Here is a 21,000-nt window from a genome sequence, read left to right on the forward strand (position 1 = left end):
GCACAGGACTGCAGAGCTGAACCAACCCGCAGCTTCTCAGCCCTTATCAGACCGGCTCAGGGACTGGTCTGAGAGCACAGGGGCTTGACTCCCCAACCGCCCTTCAGCTTGGGACAGAACCCAGGCCATTTTCTGCCAATTCTTCCTCAGCTCATGCAGGCGTACAGGAGAGAACAAAGGTCCCAGGTATCCTAATTCAGCCCTTAATAGCCAGAGTCCATGAAATGCCCATATAATAAGGATGCTTAGGGCCCTTAACCACCAGGCCATAAACAGATTTCAGAAACATAACCAGGCTCACATCTCACCTCAGCTTCTCTTTTACTACAAGAATCTCTGGCAAAATAAGGCTCTTTCTGTGCCTCAGTGTTTCCCTTTGCCAACGAGAAACCCTAAGAAGAGGCTGCGATAATTATTTTGATTCTTTATGTTTTTGACCCTCAAGTGGTTATTCGGTCATTTAGTGCCTCAAAAGAGGGCACGAGGGAACTTCATCTACTCAAAGAACTGATAAACCACCCGAAGCCTGCGTGGAAAGCCTGGACCATGTCTCCCTGGGCCCAGAGTAAGAGGCAAGAGGGACCCTCATCCCCTGCTCAATGGGACTCCCTTCTCCACCCACGCGCATGCTCCAACAATGTCCCAGCTTCCTGTTGCTGTTGTCACAGCCTCCGCAAAGGCCCAACAATTATGCATAATTTATTCCACGTGTTTGTTTATTGTGCCTGCCAGAGGCGTCTGTCGTAAATGTTTCAGTGCTTTAACTTTAGATGAGTTTTCTTTTGAAATAATTGTCCCCAGGGTGATGAACTGAGCAGTAAATTAACACCCCTCTATCCACGGCCTCCTCTAGGCTCCTGTCCCCTTCTAGCTGCAGTGCTCAACATAAAACATTCATTAAATGAGCACTGCAGGTGGCTTAGGTAGGGATGGGGGCCCCGGGGCCTGCGCACTGGCTAAATCAATATGTAGGTGACAAGTTCCATGAAGAATCTCCCAGGACTAGTTAAATAGGATTTTGTTTTAAAGTCCTTTCAGTGATATGTTTCATAGAAGTATGAAACCTACATTTGCCATTAGCCCCCCATCTCTACTTGTTCATGTTCTTTGCATCTTGACACAAAAATATATCTTTGCTCCTCTTTGAAGCTTTCTGTTATCTGAGCCCATCTGTGTCACTCCAATGACACCATCACTCAGACATGGTCCCTCTCCTTGTCTCCCTCTCACACACACACACACACACACACACACGCAAACACAATCTCACACCACTGGCACACTCACCCATCCACACACATACATACTAACACAATCTCACACATGCTCATGCCACTGACTCACTCTCACACACCCGCTCAAACACTCTCAACAGTTCAGGGATGGTCTGAAAAACTGACCATTGGTGTATTTATTCATTATGTCAGGGGTGAGCATTCCTGTGCTTCTTGTCAAATTTTTATTTCTCTTCCCCGATAGCCTCTCCAACCTCCAACCAAGGACCCCACTTGTAAATGATTTGTGGCTAGTGGGTTCTAAAGTTACATAGACTTATTGCCTGGACTTTCGTGCCAGCGCTTTGCCGGTTGCTTTCAGATAGATTCTGCTGTTCCTTTCCTCTGCTCTGTGCTGACCCCAAAAACTATATTTCCTTGAATAACTCATCAACTGACTTTTGGTTAGGTCTGGCCAATGGGAAGTAATGATGGGAGCCTGGGGGGCAGAAAAGGGAAATCCAGGGTATTTCTCCTTTACTTCTTCTATCTGCTTCAGATGGCATCTCCTCTGGGATTCCAGCTCCCACTGGGTGGTCCTGGCTCCTGGGCTCTGGTAAGGCCAGCTCTGCTCCTGTCCTTGCAGCCCTAAGGTGGTGCCCACTTCCTGCCATGCTAATCTCTCTACTGCCTCACTGTCCTGCTTGCCTCAACATCCCTTCTTCTAACACCTTTAGAATTAGCTCTTCGTATTGTCTCTGCTGACCCACGTAGAATGAGTTTTGTCTTCTTACTGTACTCTAATAGAAAGTTTATTGGAAGCAAAGGAGGCATGAGCTGAGAAAGTGCTGAGTGAATGGTTACAGGGATGAGAGGCAAAGAACAGCACTGCTCCTCAACCTGCCAGCTCCAGCACCTTGCCATCTGCACTCAACTTAGAGCTTTACCATCTTGTAGGAACAGAGAGAATTGGTGACCTGCAGGGAAACTTAAGAAAACCTCCAAACGTGTCCGGGATACAGCAGTCTAGAAAAGATTCAAACTGATTTAGGAAAAAAAAAAAAAATCCACGCTATTCTTTTATTAAAAGTTCCGGACTCAGTATTCTTTCTTGAAAACACAATCTATACCTATATTTATATTCCTGAATTTTCCCTACTGTCTGTTGAACTCTAGCAGTAAACTGAGCTAATTCTCCCCACTGTTGTCCTCAGTGGAAATAGAACATCACCCCACTAAAATTTACACAAAACCACTAATGTGGGGTAGCGAATTTGTCTCTCACCCATCTTTCCAGTGAATACCACAGTCCTTTCTGCCTTTAGTTTAGGAAAGAAGAATCAAACATGACTTTTTAGGAGTGTTTGAGGATCTATTGAAGGAAAACTTTCAGCAGACACAGGAGCAAGAGGTTAAAAGCATTGCTTTTGAGTCAGACTGCCTGGCTTCGACTCTGGCTCTGCCATGTATTATCATTGATCAACTTATGTTCCCCTATAGACCTCAGTCTTCTCATCTGTGAGTTGGGGATCATAATGGAAATAATAAAGGAAATAATACCTGTAAAGCTTTGCACATTACATACAATAAGCACTCCATAAATGTTACTTATAATTTTATCATTATTAACATCCTCCTATGCCCACATCCTTGAAAATCAATAAGAGAAGGTATAAGAGCTAAGTTACTACCATATAAATAAATAAGAGACAGTCCAATCCCCCAAACCAATGGGTTGATGACCAACATCATCTCTGCACATCAGCAAAGACTGACTCTCAGAACTGGAGAGGCTGTGTAATCTAATCTACCTGCATGACAGCTGAGGTGGAAGAGACCCAGAAGGCTCAGCTGCCTGGTAATGGTACCATAACTCCTACCCCGGGGTCCTTATATATGGTTATCACCTCATTACAGTACAGAGCATTTCATTACAGATCAGTGTCATGTACATGAGATGTGAATTGTTTTCAGGGAAGCTGATACAGTTTGGATATTTGTTCCCACCCAAATCTCATGTTGAATTGTAATCCTCGGTGCTGGAGGTGGAGACTGGCGGGAGGTGTTTGGATCATGGGGGTGGATCCCTCATGGCTTGGTGCTGTCTTTGCAAAAGTGAGTGAGTTCCTGTGAGATCTGGTCATTTAAAAGTGTGTGGCACCACCTCCCCTATAACTCACTCCTTTTTCTCTCTCCTGCTTTCAGTATGTGACGTGCCTGCTCCCCCTTCGCCTTCCACAATGATTATAAACTTCCTGAGGCCTCCTTAGAAGTCAAGAAGATACCAGCACCATGCCTTTTCTAAACCCTACAGAACCATGAGCCAATTAAACCTCTCTTTTTTAATAAATTACTCAGTCTCGGGTATTTATAGCAATGCAAGAATGGCCTTAGAGGGAAACCTTATAGAGAGAGTTTTAAACAAACCAAAAAAAAAAAAAAGCAATGGCCTACAGCTAACATGAGACTTACAGTGACTTAATGGTGAAAAACTAAATTTTTTTCTCCTATGGTCAAAAACAAAGCAAGGAAGTCCATTCTCACCACTTCCTTTTTTTTTTTTTTTTTTTTGAGACGGAGTCTCACTCTGCCACCCAGGCTGGAGTGCAGTGGCGCAGTCTCGGCTCACTGCCAGCTCTGCCTCCCAGGTTCATGTCATTCTCCTGCCTCAGCCTCCCCAGTAGCTGGGACTACAGGTGCTTGCCACCACGCCCGGCTACTTTTTTCTTTTTTTTTTTTCGAGACAGAGTCTTGCTCTGTCCCCCAGGCTGGAGTGCAGTCGTGCAATCTCGGCTCACTGCAAGCTCTGCCTCCCGGGTTCACGCCATTCTCCTGCCTCAGCCTCCCAAACAGCTGGGACTACAGGCGCCCGCCACCACGCCCAGCTAATTTTTTGTATTTTTAGTAGAGATGGGGTTTCACCATGTTAGCCAGGATGGTCTCCATCTCTTGACCTCATGATCCGCCCACCTCGGCCTCTCAAGGTGCTGGGATTACAGGCGTGAGCCACCGCACCCGGCCTCACCACTTCTATTCAGCATTGTACAGGAGATTCCAATCAGGGCAATTAGGAAATGGGTGGAGCAAGCAGGGATAAAATATATCCAGATTGGAAAAAAGAAGTAAAACTATCACTATTCACAGATAACATGATCTCACAAATAGAAAATCCTAAGGAATCCATTAAAAATTATTAGAACTAATAAATGAGTTCAGAAAAGTTATGGGATACCAGATCAATATAGAAAAATCAATTATATTTCTATATACTGGCAGTGAACAGTCCAAAAATAAAATCAAGAAAACTATATTTTCAATAGCATCAAAAAAATAAAATAATTATCAATAAATTTAACAAAATATGTACAAGACTTGTACACTGAAAACTATAAAACATTGTTGAAAAAATAAAAGGTCTACGTAAATAGAAAGATATACCACATTCATAGAAGACTTACTATTGCTAAGATGGCAATTCTTCCAAAATTAGTCTATAGATTCAACTCAATCCCTAGCAAAATCCCAGCTTGCTTTCTTATAGACATTGACAAGTTAGTCATGAAGTTCATATGGAAATGCAAAACACCCAGAATGGTCAAAACAATTTTGAAAAAAAAGTACAAAGTCAGAGGACTCATACCCCCAATTTCAAAACTTACTATATAGGCACAGCAGTCAAGATAGGGTGGTACTACATAAGAACAGACATATAGATCAATGGAATCTAATTGATGTCCAGAAATAAACTCTTACATTTATGGTCAATTGACTTTTGATAAGGGTGTCAAGATAATTCAGTGAGGAAACAGTCTGTTCAACAAATGTTGCTGGGACAACTGAATATCTACATGCAGAAAAATACATTTGAATACCCTCCTTAAATCATACACAAAAATTAACTCAAAATGGATCATAGGCCTAACTGCAAGTGTTAAAACTATAAAATTCTTAGAAGAAAAATTAGAAATATCTTAATGACATTGGATTAGGCAATGGTTTCTTAGATATAACACAAAAGCATAAGTAACAAAATTAGATAAATTGAACTATTTCAAAATTCAAAATTTCAATAAAGTGAAAAGACAATCTACAGAATTAAAGAAACTATTTCTACATCATATTATTTGATAAGACTGGTAATCCAAATATATAAAGAATTTCTTATATCCCAAATATATAAAGAACTTCATATATTCCAAATATAAAAACAACTCTTACAACCTGATAACCAAAAGCCAATTAACCCAATATTTTTAAGAGGCAAAGGATTTGAATAGATATTTTTCCAAAGAAGACATGCAAATGACCATTAATGACCACTAATGAAGTTCACATCATTAATCATTAGGGAAATGCAAGTTAAAACTACAATGAAATATCACTTCACACCACTGGGATGGATAAAATGTAAAAAACAGATACTAAGTGTTGGTGAGGATGTGGAGATGCTGGAAACCTCCTAAATAGCTGGTTGGAATGTAAAACAATATAGCCACTTTGGAAAAATAGCATGGCAGTTCTTTAAAATGTTAAACATAGAGTTACCATATGACCCAGCAATTCTACTCCTACGTATATACCCAAGAAAAATGAAAGCATACGGCAAAAAAAAAAAACTTGTACCCAAATGTCCATTGCAGCATTATTCCTAATAGCCCAAAAGTAGAGACCACCCAAATGACCATCAACTGCATCGATAAATAAAATGAAGCAGATCCACAATATAGAATATTATTTGGCAATATAAAAGAACGAAGTACTGATATATGCTACAATATGAATGAATCCTAAAAAAATGTTGCGAAGTGAAAGAAGCTAAGGACCGCATATTCTATAATACCATTTACGTGAAAGTCCAGAATAGGCAAATCTATAGAGACAGAAAGTAGATTAGTTGTTACCCACGGCTTGGCAACTATTGGGTACAGGGTTTCTTTTTCGGATAATAAAAATGTTTTAAATATAAATTGTGTAGATAATTGCACACATCTGTGAATAAGCTAAAAATTATTCATATATATGCATATTGAATTGTGCATATATAAAAATATGCATATTGAATTGTGCATATATAAAAATATGCATATTGAATTGTGCATATATAAAAATATGCATATTGAATTGTGCACTTTAAATGGGTGAATTTTAGTGTATAAAATTAAATCTCAATAAACATGTTTAAAAAGTAAACGGACTTGGTATCTTTAAAATTAAAAAGGAAAAAGAAAAGCAAACAGGCCTTGGGGATCAGGCAGAGCTGGGTTTGATTACCAGCTTCCCCACAACCAGCTACGTGGTCTTAAGCAAATTCGCGCACCACTCTGGGCCTCAGTAAATGGTAGCTTTTTACCATTCAACAGGAAGGAAAGTAAGGAGAGGTGAGGATATGCAGCATCAGGATTACAGTGAAGGCAGAACCAAGGTGATCTTCTGGGGTGAGACAAGCACATCCAAGACCACCAGCTAGAATTTGATTCTTTAGTCCCTGTCTATTCCTCAGAAGCAGGTGCCTTTCCTAAACATTCCACATGCAATGATGCCCCTGCAGCAATGCTATGCGGTGGGTATTGACTACAACTCTTCCTGCAGACAAGAGCAGCATCCACCTTTATCTCCCACCTATGGCTGGATTTGGCAAGAACAGAAGCATTAACAATGTTAAAGAAACTGAGGAAACACAAGAAGGATCCTGACAATCAAATTCTAGACCATTTTTATCTTACACTACTCATTTGAGAAGGTCATTTCCCCCCAGTGCCCATAAGGCATTAGATGCTTTGAGCTTTGCATTCTCAACAGTGTAATGAAAATAGATGTTGAATGCTAAAACATAAACATATGTATCATTCATAATGCATTCAGATGTTTTTTAATTATTCATGGTTCCTGAAAGTTATTTGACCAATCATGCATATATACCCAAGCAATGTTTATATTAGAACCACAGCCTCAGTGTACACAATTCCGGTTCCTTGGCATTCCCGTCTATGGAATTAAAATTCAATGAGTCAGTGGTCAATAAAAGTTACATGTGATTTCCATAAAATTATCCATTGTATATTGCTATGGGGTGGAGAAAGAAGTTTGCACGGCGTTGCCGAAGCTGACAGAACACAGAATGCTTGCTTTCTGATGAGGGTGGCGGTGATGATTAGTCTTTCCTAAGAATGAATTCATTATTTCCCTGAATAATTGGTGGTCTTGGACTTGGTCTTCGTCTAGGAAAAAAAATAACTCAGAGGGCCACCCTCTCTGTTCTGTTTAAGTTCTGTTTTCTTAAAAAAAAAAAAATGCCAGCATTTTGGGCTCGAAAACACCACATTCTTCTGTTTTGATGCTTGCATAAATTTGCATGTTAACATGAATGGTTCCAACTTAAAGAATGTGAAATGAAATGAAATTTGAATTCAAATCCAAGATGGAGAAAAGACACATCTAAAAGCAACAGATTTTCAATCTAGTGGAATTTTTTTTCAAGAACCAGATTAAGAAAGACATAAACTCTCCTCTCTCTCTCTCTCTCCCCACCCCTCCTCGCTTTCAAAGACAGGTGGCACACAGAGACAGGTATCCCAAAGAGCATCCCCATGTCCCCCCAACATACATACTCTGAGTTTTTTTACGAACCACAGCACAAATTCTGAAGCTCTGTTTTAATGACTGCATGCCACCATGAAACTGAGAGACATGACTCAGAGGACATGGTCACCATCATGTTTCCACGTTTGGAGGTCCACCAAGATAAAATGAAATGTAAGGAACATTGCACAAGTAGCTTGAGCAAATACAGGCATGTATTTGCCACTGCAGGCCCTAAGAGCCATTTCTTGTTCTATCCTTTGATTTTCCCATTGCAGTTGAAGGCTGTATGGCATAGCGGTTAGAGGCACAGACTAATAGACCTGCAGTGGAATCCCAGATCCACCTACCATTTACTGGCTGTGTGACCTCTGGCAAATGACTTAATCTGTGGACATAACTTTTTTCATGAGCCTTCATTTACATAGCAATAGTACCAGCCTCACAGACTTATTGTGAGATAATGTAATACACTTAGAACAGTGTCTAACATAGAGCAAGCGTTCGATAAGGATTAGCCGTGGTGGTGGTTGGTCTGGTGGGGTATTGAATGTTATTATTATTCAATATTTAGATGATGGTAGGAATCAGGCCTGAAACTGTTTCTCCTCTAACCTGCCCTCCCATTTTGACCAGATAGCACCGCTATCTGGAAAGAGAGGTCAAGTCATAGAGAAAGCCCATTGCCCATGATCTCTGGCTGCAGGACAATGCGAGATGTCATGCTCTCATCTCATCCTGCCCCACATCAACCCCTTCTCAAGCCCAGTCTCCCTTCACTAAGGCGTGCCAAACAAAATGACAACAGGATCTCAACAAGTAAAGAGGACCGTGAGCAGCAAGTCCAGCTTCATACCTCATCGCCACACTCCGTCGTGTTTGTTTCCAATTTCTGGACAGCAGACTGGTTGCTCTCCTTTAGCATTTTCTCTCGAACTTTGGTTTCATACTCAGGCCTGGAATGTTCCTAAACCAAAGAGCAGTGAGTGGTTAGTAAACAAAAGGAAGAATGACCTTGGCCTTAGGGTTATAACCAGACACATGTACATTAACGTCAGCGTTTAGGATTGGATGCTATTGGATATGAACTGCCCCACCACACACAATCACAAGGCATCTAGACATCACATCCTAACATAAGAACACAACGTGAGGAAGAGACAAGGGACACACAACACTCGTTATCACACTGAAAACCAAACCTGGGCACGTTCCTGGGGATAGCGCCGGTGTTGAGAAAAAGAGAGGAAATGTTAACTGGATGGCTGATACGAAGAGGGGCCCAGTGCTTTGCAGAGCAGTTTCACCAGAGGCAGAGGGATATCCCTGGTCATCCCACCAACTATCGTCAGACCTCAAACTTTAACTTTCAACAAGCCAACTCCCAGCTGGAGAAACAGATGTGCCCCACAGCTGGGAGTGAGGGCAACAACAAAACTCCTTCCCTGCTCCATTATTCTCTGAGCTAAAATGGCGACCAATAAACATCAAAGTCAAGGGTGGCCATAGGGAATCTTAAAACTCACTTGCCTGGACCTGTTTCCTGTGCAGCCTCGGTGAGTAACTCATTGGCAAGTAACAGCAATGCTCAAGAGACCTCACTGGGCCATTCAGCAACACAAACCTGAGTTGTGAGTCACCAGGCATGGGAAAGAGCACCTAACTAATCCAGAGGACCATGGTCAAATCAGTGCAGATGCCGGGGTAGGAAAATGCATAACTCACTTCAAAGAAAATTTAACTGTGTACACCTGGCCTCATTGGCAGGTCTTCCTTACGGTTTCCAGCTCAAGAACAAACATCTACAGGTGTGAGGACTTCATGTTCCTGCATCGTTTATCGATAACTCCTGGGCAGGGATTCAGGTACTGGCTCACAATGGGCTCTGCCATTCAGGGAACACACATGTCCTTATCCCTGTCCATATGTCAGAGATTCCAAAGGTCAACGGGCCAGGCTTTTGACCTGTCTCTGGCTTTCCCAAGACACGCCATGATGCAGGAGAGGACAGACCATGTAAGTGACTAACAAGCATAACTAAAACAACTGCAGGCGGTGCCATTCTATCCTCACCCATTCTCCGAGGGGACGTCAGTCCCACCCCTTCCAGGAGGACTTCTCCAACTGTTGCAACATACCTACCAGGTGGGGTCTCCTCCCTCTCTGAATTCCGAAACTTTTATAGCTTATACCACACACTGTAGATCTTCATTACATATTTTTCTTTTATTTTTTCCTCGCTGTTTTGCATGTGAGAGTCTTCTTATCCTAACATAAAGATCAGCTACCTGCTCTGTATTATTCTATGTTTTGCACAGTACTTGGCACCATGCAGAACACACAGAAATCTCTGAACGCTTGTAAAGTGCACTTGATTTTGTCTCTCACCTTCATCCGTTCTCCAACACAGCATTTCCTAATGTGTGTGCCAAGAGAATTTCAGCTAAAAAAGGATTCCAAGGTCTAAAAGACTGGAAAACACTAGAACGTATCGACTTTCTGAGAGTCACAGTGAGCACATTCAAAACTCTGAAAAGTACTACTGTCAAGAAGCTTGCTTAATTTTCCTAAGCACATCATTTCCCGCAGAGCAACTTTTGCCTGTAACAATTAATAACCTGCAGGAATACTTAGAGAAGTATGGTTTGAGGTTCTCCCCCATGGCCTCTGAAATTTGGTTGCTTTTCTTCTACATTATTCCAATGGGAGATTTTAATTAAAAACTTAGCAGTATCTTTCAGTGAGTTCCAGAACATGGGTTCTACATCTCTTCAAGCCAGAGGAGCCTCTCCCCTTCCAGACCCTGCACAGGGGCTAAGGGAGGCACCCTCAGCTGACCGACAGGATGTTTCTGATTATCTCTGGCTTTCCAGGACATGATGTGGCAGCACACAGAGGAGTTTGCTTGAATCCCTCTAGGTGTGGCTGTGGCTCACCTCCCCCCATGCTGGGCCCCAGTTCAAAGCTCCCTCATCTTTTTTTTCTTTCTTTTTTTTTTTTTTGAGACAGAGTCTCACTCTGTCGCCCAGGCTGGAGTGCTGTGGCATGATCTCGGCTCACCGAAACCTCTGCCTTCCAGGCTCAAGCAATTCTCCTGCCTCAGCCTCCGGAGTAGCTGGGACTGCAGGCACATGCCACCAGGCCCAGCTGATTTTTTTGTACTTTTAGTAGAGATGGGGTTTCACCATGTTGACCAAGCTGGTCTTGAACTCCTAACCTCAGGTGATCCACCCGCCTCGGCCTCCCAAAGTGCTGGGATTACAGGCGTGAACCACTGCACCCGGCCATAACCCTTAACTTTTTAAAGCAAGCCTAGCTTCCTAAGCACTCAGACAAGAATCCGAAACTCAAAGAAGAGACAGGCTGCGCTGCACTCAGCTGAAGCAGGCCTGACAAGGACCTCCCTCTTTGCAGCCAAGCAAGTGGGGTGAGGTTATGGAATCCCTCAAATTGGACAACTGAGCTCCTGGCCAGAGCAGAATCCAGCCCCCGGGAGGGCTGCTTTGACACACCCAGCCACGGGCAGATCAGCCTGATACTCCTGATGTTCCCCAAACACAACAGCACTGGATGGGTTATCTGATACCAAGTCATCACAGATCATCACCCCTCCCATCGAGACTCTGGGAACTGTTTCCACGTGGTCAGTCTCCCCAGGAGCCAGCTGGGAGGAAGAACCCAAGCCTGCTCAGGACCACATTTGTCTGATGTAAAGAGGTAAGTCCAGAGATACATCCAACAAATGTCTTCAACCAGGAGTCATCAAGCACCTGCTATACTCTGAGCTCTTTCCAGGCACTGAGGCTATACTGCCAGTCCTAGACACAAGATCCCTCCTTCCCTGGAACTTTTCTCCAAGTAGAGAAAAGGTACAGTGAGTAAACCAGCACACGAATGAGAAACTAGCAGATGAGGATAAGAATAGCAGAAGAAATAAAGCAGAATGGCTGCTTCAGATTGGGGAGTTGGGGGAGGCCAATCTGAAGACGGCAATGTTTTCACTGAGACACAAAAGCCGAGAAGACAGGCCTTGCAGAGTCTGGGGGAAAAGCAGTCTGTGCAACAGGAATAACCAGGGCAAAGGCTGGAATGAGCTCGAGACAGAATGAAGGCCTGGGTAGCTGGAAGGTCTAAGCAAGGAGGAGAATGACACAAGCTGAGGTTAGAAAGGTAGGCAGAGGATTTGGTTTCCTGTGAAACCAGAAAGAAGTCACTGAGGATATCTAAGCTTTGATGTTATACACGAGGGGTGGGAGAGAGATGGGTGGGCAGGATATCTGTGTTCAGATAAGGCCACACTCTCTAAGAGGCCCAGGGTATTCCTGATGTGACAGAAGGTAATGGGCAAGAGTGGCCCACTGAGCTGAAGATTATCCCATTTTAGAGTATAAAACTCTGGAGGTCTGACAGATCTCCCTGCAAAAAGGACAAACAGGATCAGAGGAGTCCTTCAATAAGTCCCATGATGATGTCCACAGGGACACCCACAGGCAGACCTGCACTGGCCCAGGGGGGTGGGCCGTTGGGCTTGGTTGCTTCCTTCCTTCCCCACCCTCAGAAGAAAGCAGTCTCCAGTCTTCTTCTGGCTTGTCTCTGGTTTCCAAGCCGGACTTAAGCCCTACTGCTTGTTCTACCCCTCCTGGGGTGACCCACCTGCTGAAGGCACCCAGGTGGGAGGACTAGAGGGTGCACAAGCTTTGGTGTATGTCAGTTGGCACCCTCCTTTCCCCTGGGAAGCAAGTGTTTCCTAGTGGATACCATGGGGAAGAAAGAAGTCTTAAGGTTATAGAAAGCTAGACTCGCAAGCATTCCTGATACTGGGAGGTGTCTGGTTAAAATAGAAAAAACTTCTAATCATGGCTTTCAAGGACCCCTGCCTCCCTCCCTCCAGTGCCCAAGTAACATCTGCCTTCCACTCACTCCTCGTTTTGAATGTGGGTTAAATGCTTCATATAAGTCCTAGGACCCTTGTTCAAGTCATTCGTACCTTGTTATCCTGATCTTCATGCCTTCCCATGGCCTGGGAGATACAGATTAGCAATCAGGACCCTCCCTGACCCGGTCACCAGACTATACTTTTTCCTTGTCACCACTGCATACTGAGCCCTGTCCCCTGAAGCCAACTTGGCTTTCAAGATATCTTGTTGTTGCCTCGCTTTCCCAGGTCAAGGCTGCTGCTGTTTCTTTCTCGTGGGCACCCCTTCTTCCCTTTGCTGCCCATTAAAAGCCAACCAGTCTTCAAAACCCTGATTTTTTAAGAATTTCCTCTCTACATTAGCCAGAGCAATTTCTCTCACACACTCTCCATTCTATTCTAAATATTTATAGACCAAAGAGCACCCTGCTGGATGCAGCCCTTTGGAGATCAGACACTACACCTGAGATAATTCCATATTCCATACAAAAACCTAGTATGTAATAGATGCTTAATGGCCATGTTCAGAATTGAACTGAAATTGATGTGTGCTAATCCAAACTAGAAATGCATTAAAGGAAAAGTTGAGGCTGGCCTGTGCACATGTGGGGCACGCCAGTCACGTTACAGAACCAACCAGCCTTGCAGCAACCTCACACGGAGATCCCATCCGGAAAGTCTCCTTAGGCCCTGGGTAAACCCAGTCTTGGCCAGGCCCCTCTCAGCCAGCACATGAGCTCCTCAAATCATGTACCTCCCAGGAAGTTACCATGGCTCATTGGGTTAAACAGATAAACAGGAAACCTGGCTACAGAAAGAAAAATGGATTATAATCTCACCCCTGCCAGGGACTTGTTACAGAGATTTCAAGGGTATTGAGTTATAACTGAGGCTTTTCTGATGGAGAGACTATGTTTACACTTGCTCTCTAACAGCAAGACGTGAGGGCTTCCTCAACTCTACTTAGCAGACACACTTAACTTGTCTCTGGCCCCACACAGGCTTGGAGGCCAAAATGCATCTTCTTCTCTTTTTTGGAAACATTCTACGGCATTAGCGGAGTAGGCACTCTACCCTACCCACCTCCCCCAGCCTCCTCTCTCTCTGTCTCTCTCATATATATGAGACGTATTTCAGCTAAATCAAATGGGACAAATAATACAAACATTTCCCCACTAGATCACCCACATTCAAACTTCTAGAGTTCTTTCTATTGGAAGGACCAGTTTGGGAATTTTCCCGCAAGAAATGCAACTGTCTTTACTATTCTCTGTTGCTTATCTTCCTAAATAATTTGAATCCTCTCTGAAGGCAGAATGCATATGTATATTCTCTCTTTCACCACAGAGTTCATGATAGTATTAGCCTCAGGGTATATGCGAAATACCTAGGACTAGAGTAGAGTGTGTACCCAATATATGGTAATGCAGTGGGGTGGAGTGGGATGGGGATGCAATTAAGTGAGAACCCATGGGAGGTGGAGAAAGGCTATATCATTACATCTCTCCTTCCAGCACTTTCAGGCAGCACACCCTGCACTGGTAGATTCCATTCCAAGCTGCTGCCCTGCGGGTCCTGCCATTCTTCAGCCCACCTGCTCAAAGGCAAGTAGACTACTTAGAGCATTAAGGAGAAGAAATGGTGACATGCCACAGATGTGGGGACATACAGGCTTAGGAAGAGACTAAATTAGGGATTCCACTTCTTTCTCATAAAGTGTCAGGGCCACAAGGCCCCAGGTCCCTAGTCCAAGGCAATCACTGTAGGAGAGTAATGAGCAGGCTTGTGTTCCATGCAGCCACCTTACTGCTGTGGCCAGTCCTTGCAAGTGGACTCAGGCAACTGAAAGTGCCTCCTGGCCCTTCTAGACGGCCCTCAGCCCCTCACCCACGATATCCACACTATTGAGAGTCCCTGCTTGACATCCCATCCATGGTGGCACCTGGTGTCAGGAGGCCTTGAAGGTTTTAATGGTCAGAACAGAGGGGCTTGCTGAGCTTGGAAGTGAAAGAAGAGGGGAGGAGGGCTGAGTGACAGTGGGGTTGCTTTTGGAGGAGCAGGAATTATGGTGGGAATAGATCATGGGAGCAAGCACGACACACTGCCCATCATCGGCTCACCAGCATCGGGAATGGGGGGCTAGTCCTCAGAAGAGCTATAAGGGAAGGCTGATTTATTTGCATTATTTAAAGATCATCTGTCCAGAACACTGCTCTAGAAGAACCTATCCTTTCCCTTAGCTCACGCCTCCCCAACTCCTCAGTTTCACACATAGTGCACTGGCTTATACCACAGAGGTTTAGTGTTTCTTTCTTCATTCACAGACATCAAAGACAACCAGCACCTGACACCCTGCCTCTCCTTTGGCCCTCAGGAGGCCCCCAGGGCATTCTGACATATCCCTGACTCTCTGGCTTTATGATCTCAAGATTACGTCTTGCCTCTTGTTCTTGCATCTTCTGCCACCTCTTTCCCCAGAGGAGGGCACTGGGACATCTGCCCAAACACCAGGCTCAATGCCCTCCAGCTCAAGGGAAGAGGGGGTACTTGAACTCTTGGCCTCAGAGTAGGTCAACCATGGCCCAAGTCCATGGAGCCAAGCTACACAGGCAGCCACTGTGAGATCCAGCCAGTGACAGCAAACATACATGGTTATCTCACTCAAGAGAGTCCATTTCCAGGGTCAAAACAAAGCAAAAGCCCACAGAAGTATGTGAGAAATACGTGAGAGAACTCACTTCTTCCTCTTCTATGCCAGTCAGGTCCCAAAAGTAGCCCAGTCGCATCTGTAGCCTCTTCCAGTTTTCCAGGAACATGGTAGCTTAAAAAGAACAACAAGAACAAAAACCTTGATTATTTTTGAAGAGTGGATTCTGTACCCTTTGGGCTCACCAGTGGAGGTGGGGGATAAGCTATTTTAAATTTAGGAGCTCTCTTTAATGCATTTAGCCTCTTTTTCCCACTTCTAGGTGAAACTGCTAGAAATACTCCACATCCTTGAGAGCCAATAGATATGTTACACACACACACACACACACACACACACACACACGCTCCTTTCTCCACTTCTAAGTTATGAGAGGAGGGTAAACACTGATCTGGAGAAGTAAAGTAAGGATGGCGGGATGAAGAAAATAAAAAGGGAGGGGTCTGCAGGATTTTTTGACAAGCCTCATCTTGCCTACGCATACATTCTTTCCTCCTTCACCTTCATCAGCACTGTCACTTTTTCCCTACATTTCTTTCTTTCTGTCCCCAGCGCCACTTGCCTCATTTGGGCCCTAATCATCTCATTCTGAGGTTACATAACAGTCTCCTAACAGTTCTACCTGACTCCAGACTTTCAGCCTTCCAACCCATCCTGCATGTAGCTGATAGAATAATCTCTGTAAAGTAGTATGCATTCATTCTTCCATTTGCTTAGCAAATAGTTGTAGAATGCCTGCCACACCTACACATCCATCAGTTTGCCTGCCCCACCCACGGCCCTTTGAAGGACCAGCACGCCTTTCTCAGCATGCTCTAGGAAGAACCTGATACCCCCACGAGCACAACCCTACAGCCATGGTTTGTTATACCAGGGCTGAACATCTGATGCAGGGCCTGCTGATAGAGCACTCAGATTCCCTCCTTTGAAAACTGAAACTAAAAGACACAAAGAGGAGCAGGGATGGGAGAGACCACGCAGCACCTGAAAGGAGGGAAGGCCTTCGTTTCCCACAGCATCTCTAGCTCCAGTTCCCAAGAGGCCTGGTTATATTTCATTTCCTACACCCAGGAGCTTGTCTCTTGCTTTCTTAAAATAAATCTCTTGTTATTTGAGTAAGTTGGAGTGAATTTCTAATCCTGCAAAAGCACCAGTCCCAACTAAGGTATCTGCAATGTACAAAACACCATTCTAGGCATTGTCAGGGAGATTGGGTGAACTTCATGTGGATTTTTCTTCTCAAGTTGTTTACAATCTGTGAGAAGGGATTGTAAACAACTACAATACAAGACATAAAGTGATCAGGGCCTTAAGAATGACACAGATGAAAAAGCTGTGGGCCTGCGAAGAGAAGTGCTACCTGCCAGAGGAGGCATCCGAGCTGATTTTTGAAGGACAATGGCATTTGGGCATTGAAGGAGTGGGCAGAGGAAGGGTGCCAACACTACCTGCCTACATGTTCAATGGCTCCTTACAGTCTAAGTTCTTCTCTCTGGATTCCAGGACTATGTATGTCGAGCCCGAACTATCTATCTGAATCGCTCATCCTGCCATTTGACAACATATATCCCATGCCCACATTACAGCTGGGTCATCCCCTCACCGTCATCTCCATACTCGACTTGCGCACGTTGTCCCTCTCTCCTGTGCTATCCTCCAGCTTCTACCCTCATCCTATCCTGACCCAGCTCAAGTCCCCCTCTTCCATAACATCAGTCCCCATGGCACCCTGTCCTCCTCACTCCTACTGCCCTATGTTCATGGCACCCTGGAAAGGGAGGGACATGACATTCCCTGAGGCCATCCCTACAGATCCACCCCACCTCTAGCAGGAGCCTGAGCACACTTCACTACATGCCATGCCTGACTATTGGCCGACACTTCATGTTTGTGATGTAATAACAGGACTGTAAACTTTTCCTGGCTCTTAGCTGCCTATGTCTACCTCGGTCACAGCACAGAACTGAGAATATCAAACACCTATGCACTGGTTGAATACACAGTTACTTAAAGCTGCATTTGTTTTACTTGCAGCTACATTATGGTGCACTGATGTGCATGTTTTCATCTGACATGACATTTTGCATACACTGATTTGCATGTTTTTCTCCCTTGGATTTGAGGCCTTTCTCGAGTGGGTGTATTCCCTCCTAACACTGGCTTTGGTCTGGGGATACTAAGAATGGTAGTAAGTCCCTCCTCTTCCTACCGCTCCTTCCTTGGTTCCCGAGGAGGGCTGTGCACACAACAGTGCCCAGAGTGCTGACCGACTGGTGTCTCCATGAAGGGAGGAAGTCAGACTGAAGGAATGATGAGAGGGGCAAAAGAGTCATGGATAGATGAGTCGTGAGGGCAAGGGAGGACCACCATACTGATGGAGAGCAGCTCCCAGTTCTGGGTGCTCATCTGTGCCAGGCACTATGCTACATGCTCTGCATGCACACTCAATCACATGTCACAAGAGCACTGTGGGGTAGGTATTATTTCGCTCAATTTACAGATGAGGACAACGATGCTCAAAGATTAAGTAATCTGCCCAAGGTAACAGGGCACCTTGGTCAAGAGTATTGACTTTAGTGACACAGAGTTAGGTTCACATTTACCTGCCATGGGATCCCTAGCTGGTAAGGAGCAGAACTGAGACACACATTAGGTCTGCCTAGGTCAGTGTCCTTAACCTCTATTCGGAAAAGAGTTCTGAAACCCTGTCTCTTTCCTTCCCTTTTCAGTAGGACTTCACTCTCTTTCCCAACATACCCTGGAGTTTGAAGTCCGACCTACAGGTGAGCCAACAGACTTGGGTCCTGCTGACTAGTATCCCCCAAGACCTCCTGACTCCACACCGCCCCTTCCGCTGCCACCAGCAGCCCAAGTCTCTCTCTATGTACAGCCATTTCTTCCCAGCCTTATTCCCAGCAGACCTGGGCCCTGAACCAGGCCCACCCAGCACAGCACCACTAATCATAATAATCATGGTAATGAGAGGCATTACTATTATTTTTAATTGTAATTTGTAGACAATCTGGCCTAAAGGCTCTTGGCTGCTGTAACTGAATACACAATCACATAAAGCACAGCAAGACTGTCAAAAAACAAAACCAAATCCTACCCTATGCCAGGAAGCTCTGGCGCAATCTCACCCCTGAGTACTTTCCCTGCACTGTGATGTGAAAGGAAGACAGTGGGTCCAGGGGTAGGGTAGGAAATGACTGAGGATCTCGGAAGGGGTGGGAGGTAGCTGTTCATTACAGCTATCAAAGGAAGAGAAGAGGCAGTTGTTGAAACTTGAAACTAGGAAGTACAATTGAAAACCAAGTTTCTCTACAACAGGGGATTATGTGTCCCAAGAAAGTTCTTGAAGGATTATAGACCTGGAGTTATTAGGCTTCAGCAACTCAATGGTGGTAATATCTGCAAGACAAATTATGGGCATTAGAGTTGTAATATAGCAAAAAATGAATACGTATTCTGGGTTCCAAATCAGTTCAGGTGGATCTTGGGGTAATTCCACAATGCTCCTGTTTGATAAGGAGACACAGAGCTGCCAGTGACTTCCCAGGCAACAAGCCCCAACTTCAGTGTGTTCTACCAACCCTGCCTGTGAACAGTCCCAGGAGTCTATGGTCACAATTCCATTTCCTCCTGCTCCCTGCTCCAGCTCTCGATGGGCTGAACACTGCCCGTGTGCTCCCGGGACGCAGCTGCTCTCCCTGATAATAGAGAATAGAGTGTGCCCTGGAAATTTTTATTGGTGGCCTAGCAATATGGGAATCTTTCCAATCAAGTTCTGTCTCCACCCAAGTGAAGGTCCCCACAGGGAATGGAGGAAGGTTGTGTTCTAGTTCTCCTAAGAACCACCGAGAACAGGCCTCTCCCTCTCCTCCTTCTCCTCATACGCTCAGGGACGTGTGACTCAGGGCCCATCCTGGCATATCCTCTGGGCGCCATGGAGTCAGTGATAAATCAAACAGCCTCTGCAGCAGGACTGTGGTCCTGCTGGTCTGTGATCCAATGTGCAAACCAAGGGCCTGCACATTCGGTGATGAGTAAAGGAGCAGGTGGCTACTCAGATGGGCTGACACAGGTTGACTTGGTCCCTTTTCTAATACTCATGGGTGTGTCTTCTTAGAAATGCTCAGTTACCATGGGGTGGTTATCCCGCGTTATTCCAGTTTGTGAGAATAGGCGTGTGTGTGTGTGTGTGTGTGTGTATCTGTGTGTGTTTACAGTCAGCTACCTATGGCTCAGAACAAGTTTATTACCCCATACTCTGGGAGGAAGGGAGGAGGAGAAAAATGAAGGAATTATTTTTTCCTCCACTAATCCCTTTGGTGGGAATACTGAAAGCATTACCCTGGCATTAAATATTAAATTAAACAGTGCAGGGACAGTACAGTCTACACTCATGATGCCCTAACAATCGCACTGAACAGGAGTCAGGAGACCAAATCTCAGCCCACCTTTCCCATGAGCTAACTCTGTGACCACGGCAGTCACTCCACCATTCTAAGTATTGTGCTGCACGATATCTACAATCTTACCTAAGTCAGTGCACCTGCAGGAGTCTTACAGGTGTGCTAGGAGTTTTCAAAACAGGCATTGGTTCAAATTCTGAATAAATCACACATGGGGCTAGTACATGGTTAGCATGACTACATCTGAGAGAAAACAGATAAAGACATGAAGGATATTCCTGTTTCTATTCACACATATGAGTAAAGAAAAGAAAAGTGTCATCCTTAAAATACTTCTTGTGATGGGAAGAAAAAATGCGAAAGTAAGTAACCTGAAGGGGATGAGCTTTACAGCTTGGTCACTGTGCCCATGTAAAGGAACCACCCATATAAGCAAGCCTGGTGATGGCCACATACCCCACAGAGCCATGAAGATAGAGAAGAAGACGGTGGCAGGGTTGTCAAACAGGTGGCTGGCCTGCGCGGTCCCACAGGCTGAGCTGAGGTTCCAGTAATCACAGGACTTGTCACACAGGGGACACATGGTGAAGGCATTCTGCTGGTCACACATCTCTCTGCTGCAATAGATGGAGGTTGTTGGGTCAGGTGGAGCTCAAGCATGGTCCACTCCAAGAAAAATACATCCCCCAAATAGCTCCCATTTCCAAATCTATGGTTGAGTTTTTCAACTCCATAAGTAAGGAATGTTAAAGAAGTTAGCATTGTATTCTTCACCTGGAGAGTGTTACTCATACTTTGTTCAAAAACAACAATGAAAAGATGGGATATGGAGCTCCCTGTCACTACAAGTGCCCTGGAAAGTTAGTGAGATCTGTCAGAGACATTGAGCATTAAATGATGCCTCATAAAGTCCCTTCAGAACATCTGGGGTCCATGAGGTTGGTGGAATGGGATGCATCCACAGTTGTGAATAAATCACAGCCTGAAGCTGGATTTCATCATCCATTCTTCAGTCTAGGCTGTTTTTGTAAAGCCTACTGGCTGTCTCACAAACAGGTGATACTGGTCCCAAGTAGAAACAAACACGAGTGTGTGGCTAGACCTGTGCATGCTCTCACCTCCAGAAGGAGAAGTTCTACATGGGGAAGAACGGAGTAGATCTGGGTGGAA

General features: G+C 44.7%; 1 protein-coding gene across 3 annotated transcripts in view, besides 1 other annotated feature; it reads right to left on the reverse strand.

The window, feature by feature from the left end:
- ANO2 (anoctamin 2) overlaps window positions 1-21,000 on the reverse strand; it is a 383,578-nt gene that overhangs the window by 161,216 nt on the left and 201,362 nt on the right. For 2 of the 3 annotated variants that reach the window (NM_001278597.3, NM_001278596.3), the window contains exons 13-16: window positions 20,287-20,447; window positions 15,447-15,529; window positions 8,996-9,007; window positions 8,650-8,760 (exon numbers count right to left, since the gene is read on the reverse strand). In NM_001278597.3, coding sequence (NP_001265526.1) covers window positions 8,650-8,760; window positions 8,996-9,007; window positions 15,447-15,529; window positions 20,287-20,447 — 367 coding nt within the window. The remainder of the gene's footprint in view (window positions 1-8,649; window positions 8,761-8,995; window positions 9,008-15,446; window positions 15,530-20,286; window positions 20,448-21,000) is intronic. The other variant, NM_001364791.2, reaches the window with a different exon arrangement.
- Window positions 16,040-16,240: a silencer, noted in NCBI's record as "peak1541 fragment used in MPRA reporter construct". NCBI's record gives its function as "represses an SCP1 promoter by STARR-seq MPRAs in K562 erythroleukemia cells {active_cell/tissue: K562}" and the evidence as "EXISTENCE:reporter gene assay evidence [ECO:0000049][PMID:32103011]".

Source organism: Homo sapiens, chromosome 12 (genome assembly GCF_000001405.40).
Source record: "Homo sapiens chromosome 12, GRCh38.p14 Primary Assembly".
Lineage (NCBI taxonomy): Eukaryota > Metazoa > Chordata > Mammalia > Primates > Hominidae > Homo > Homo sapiens.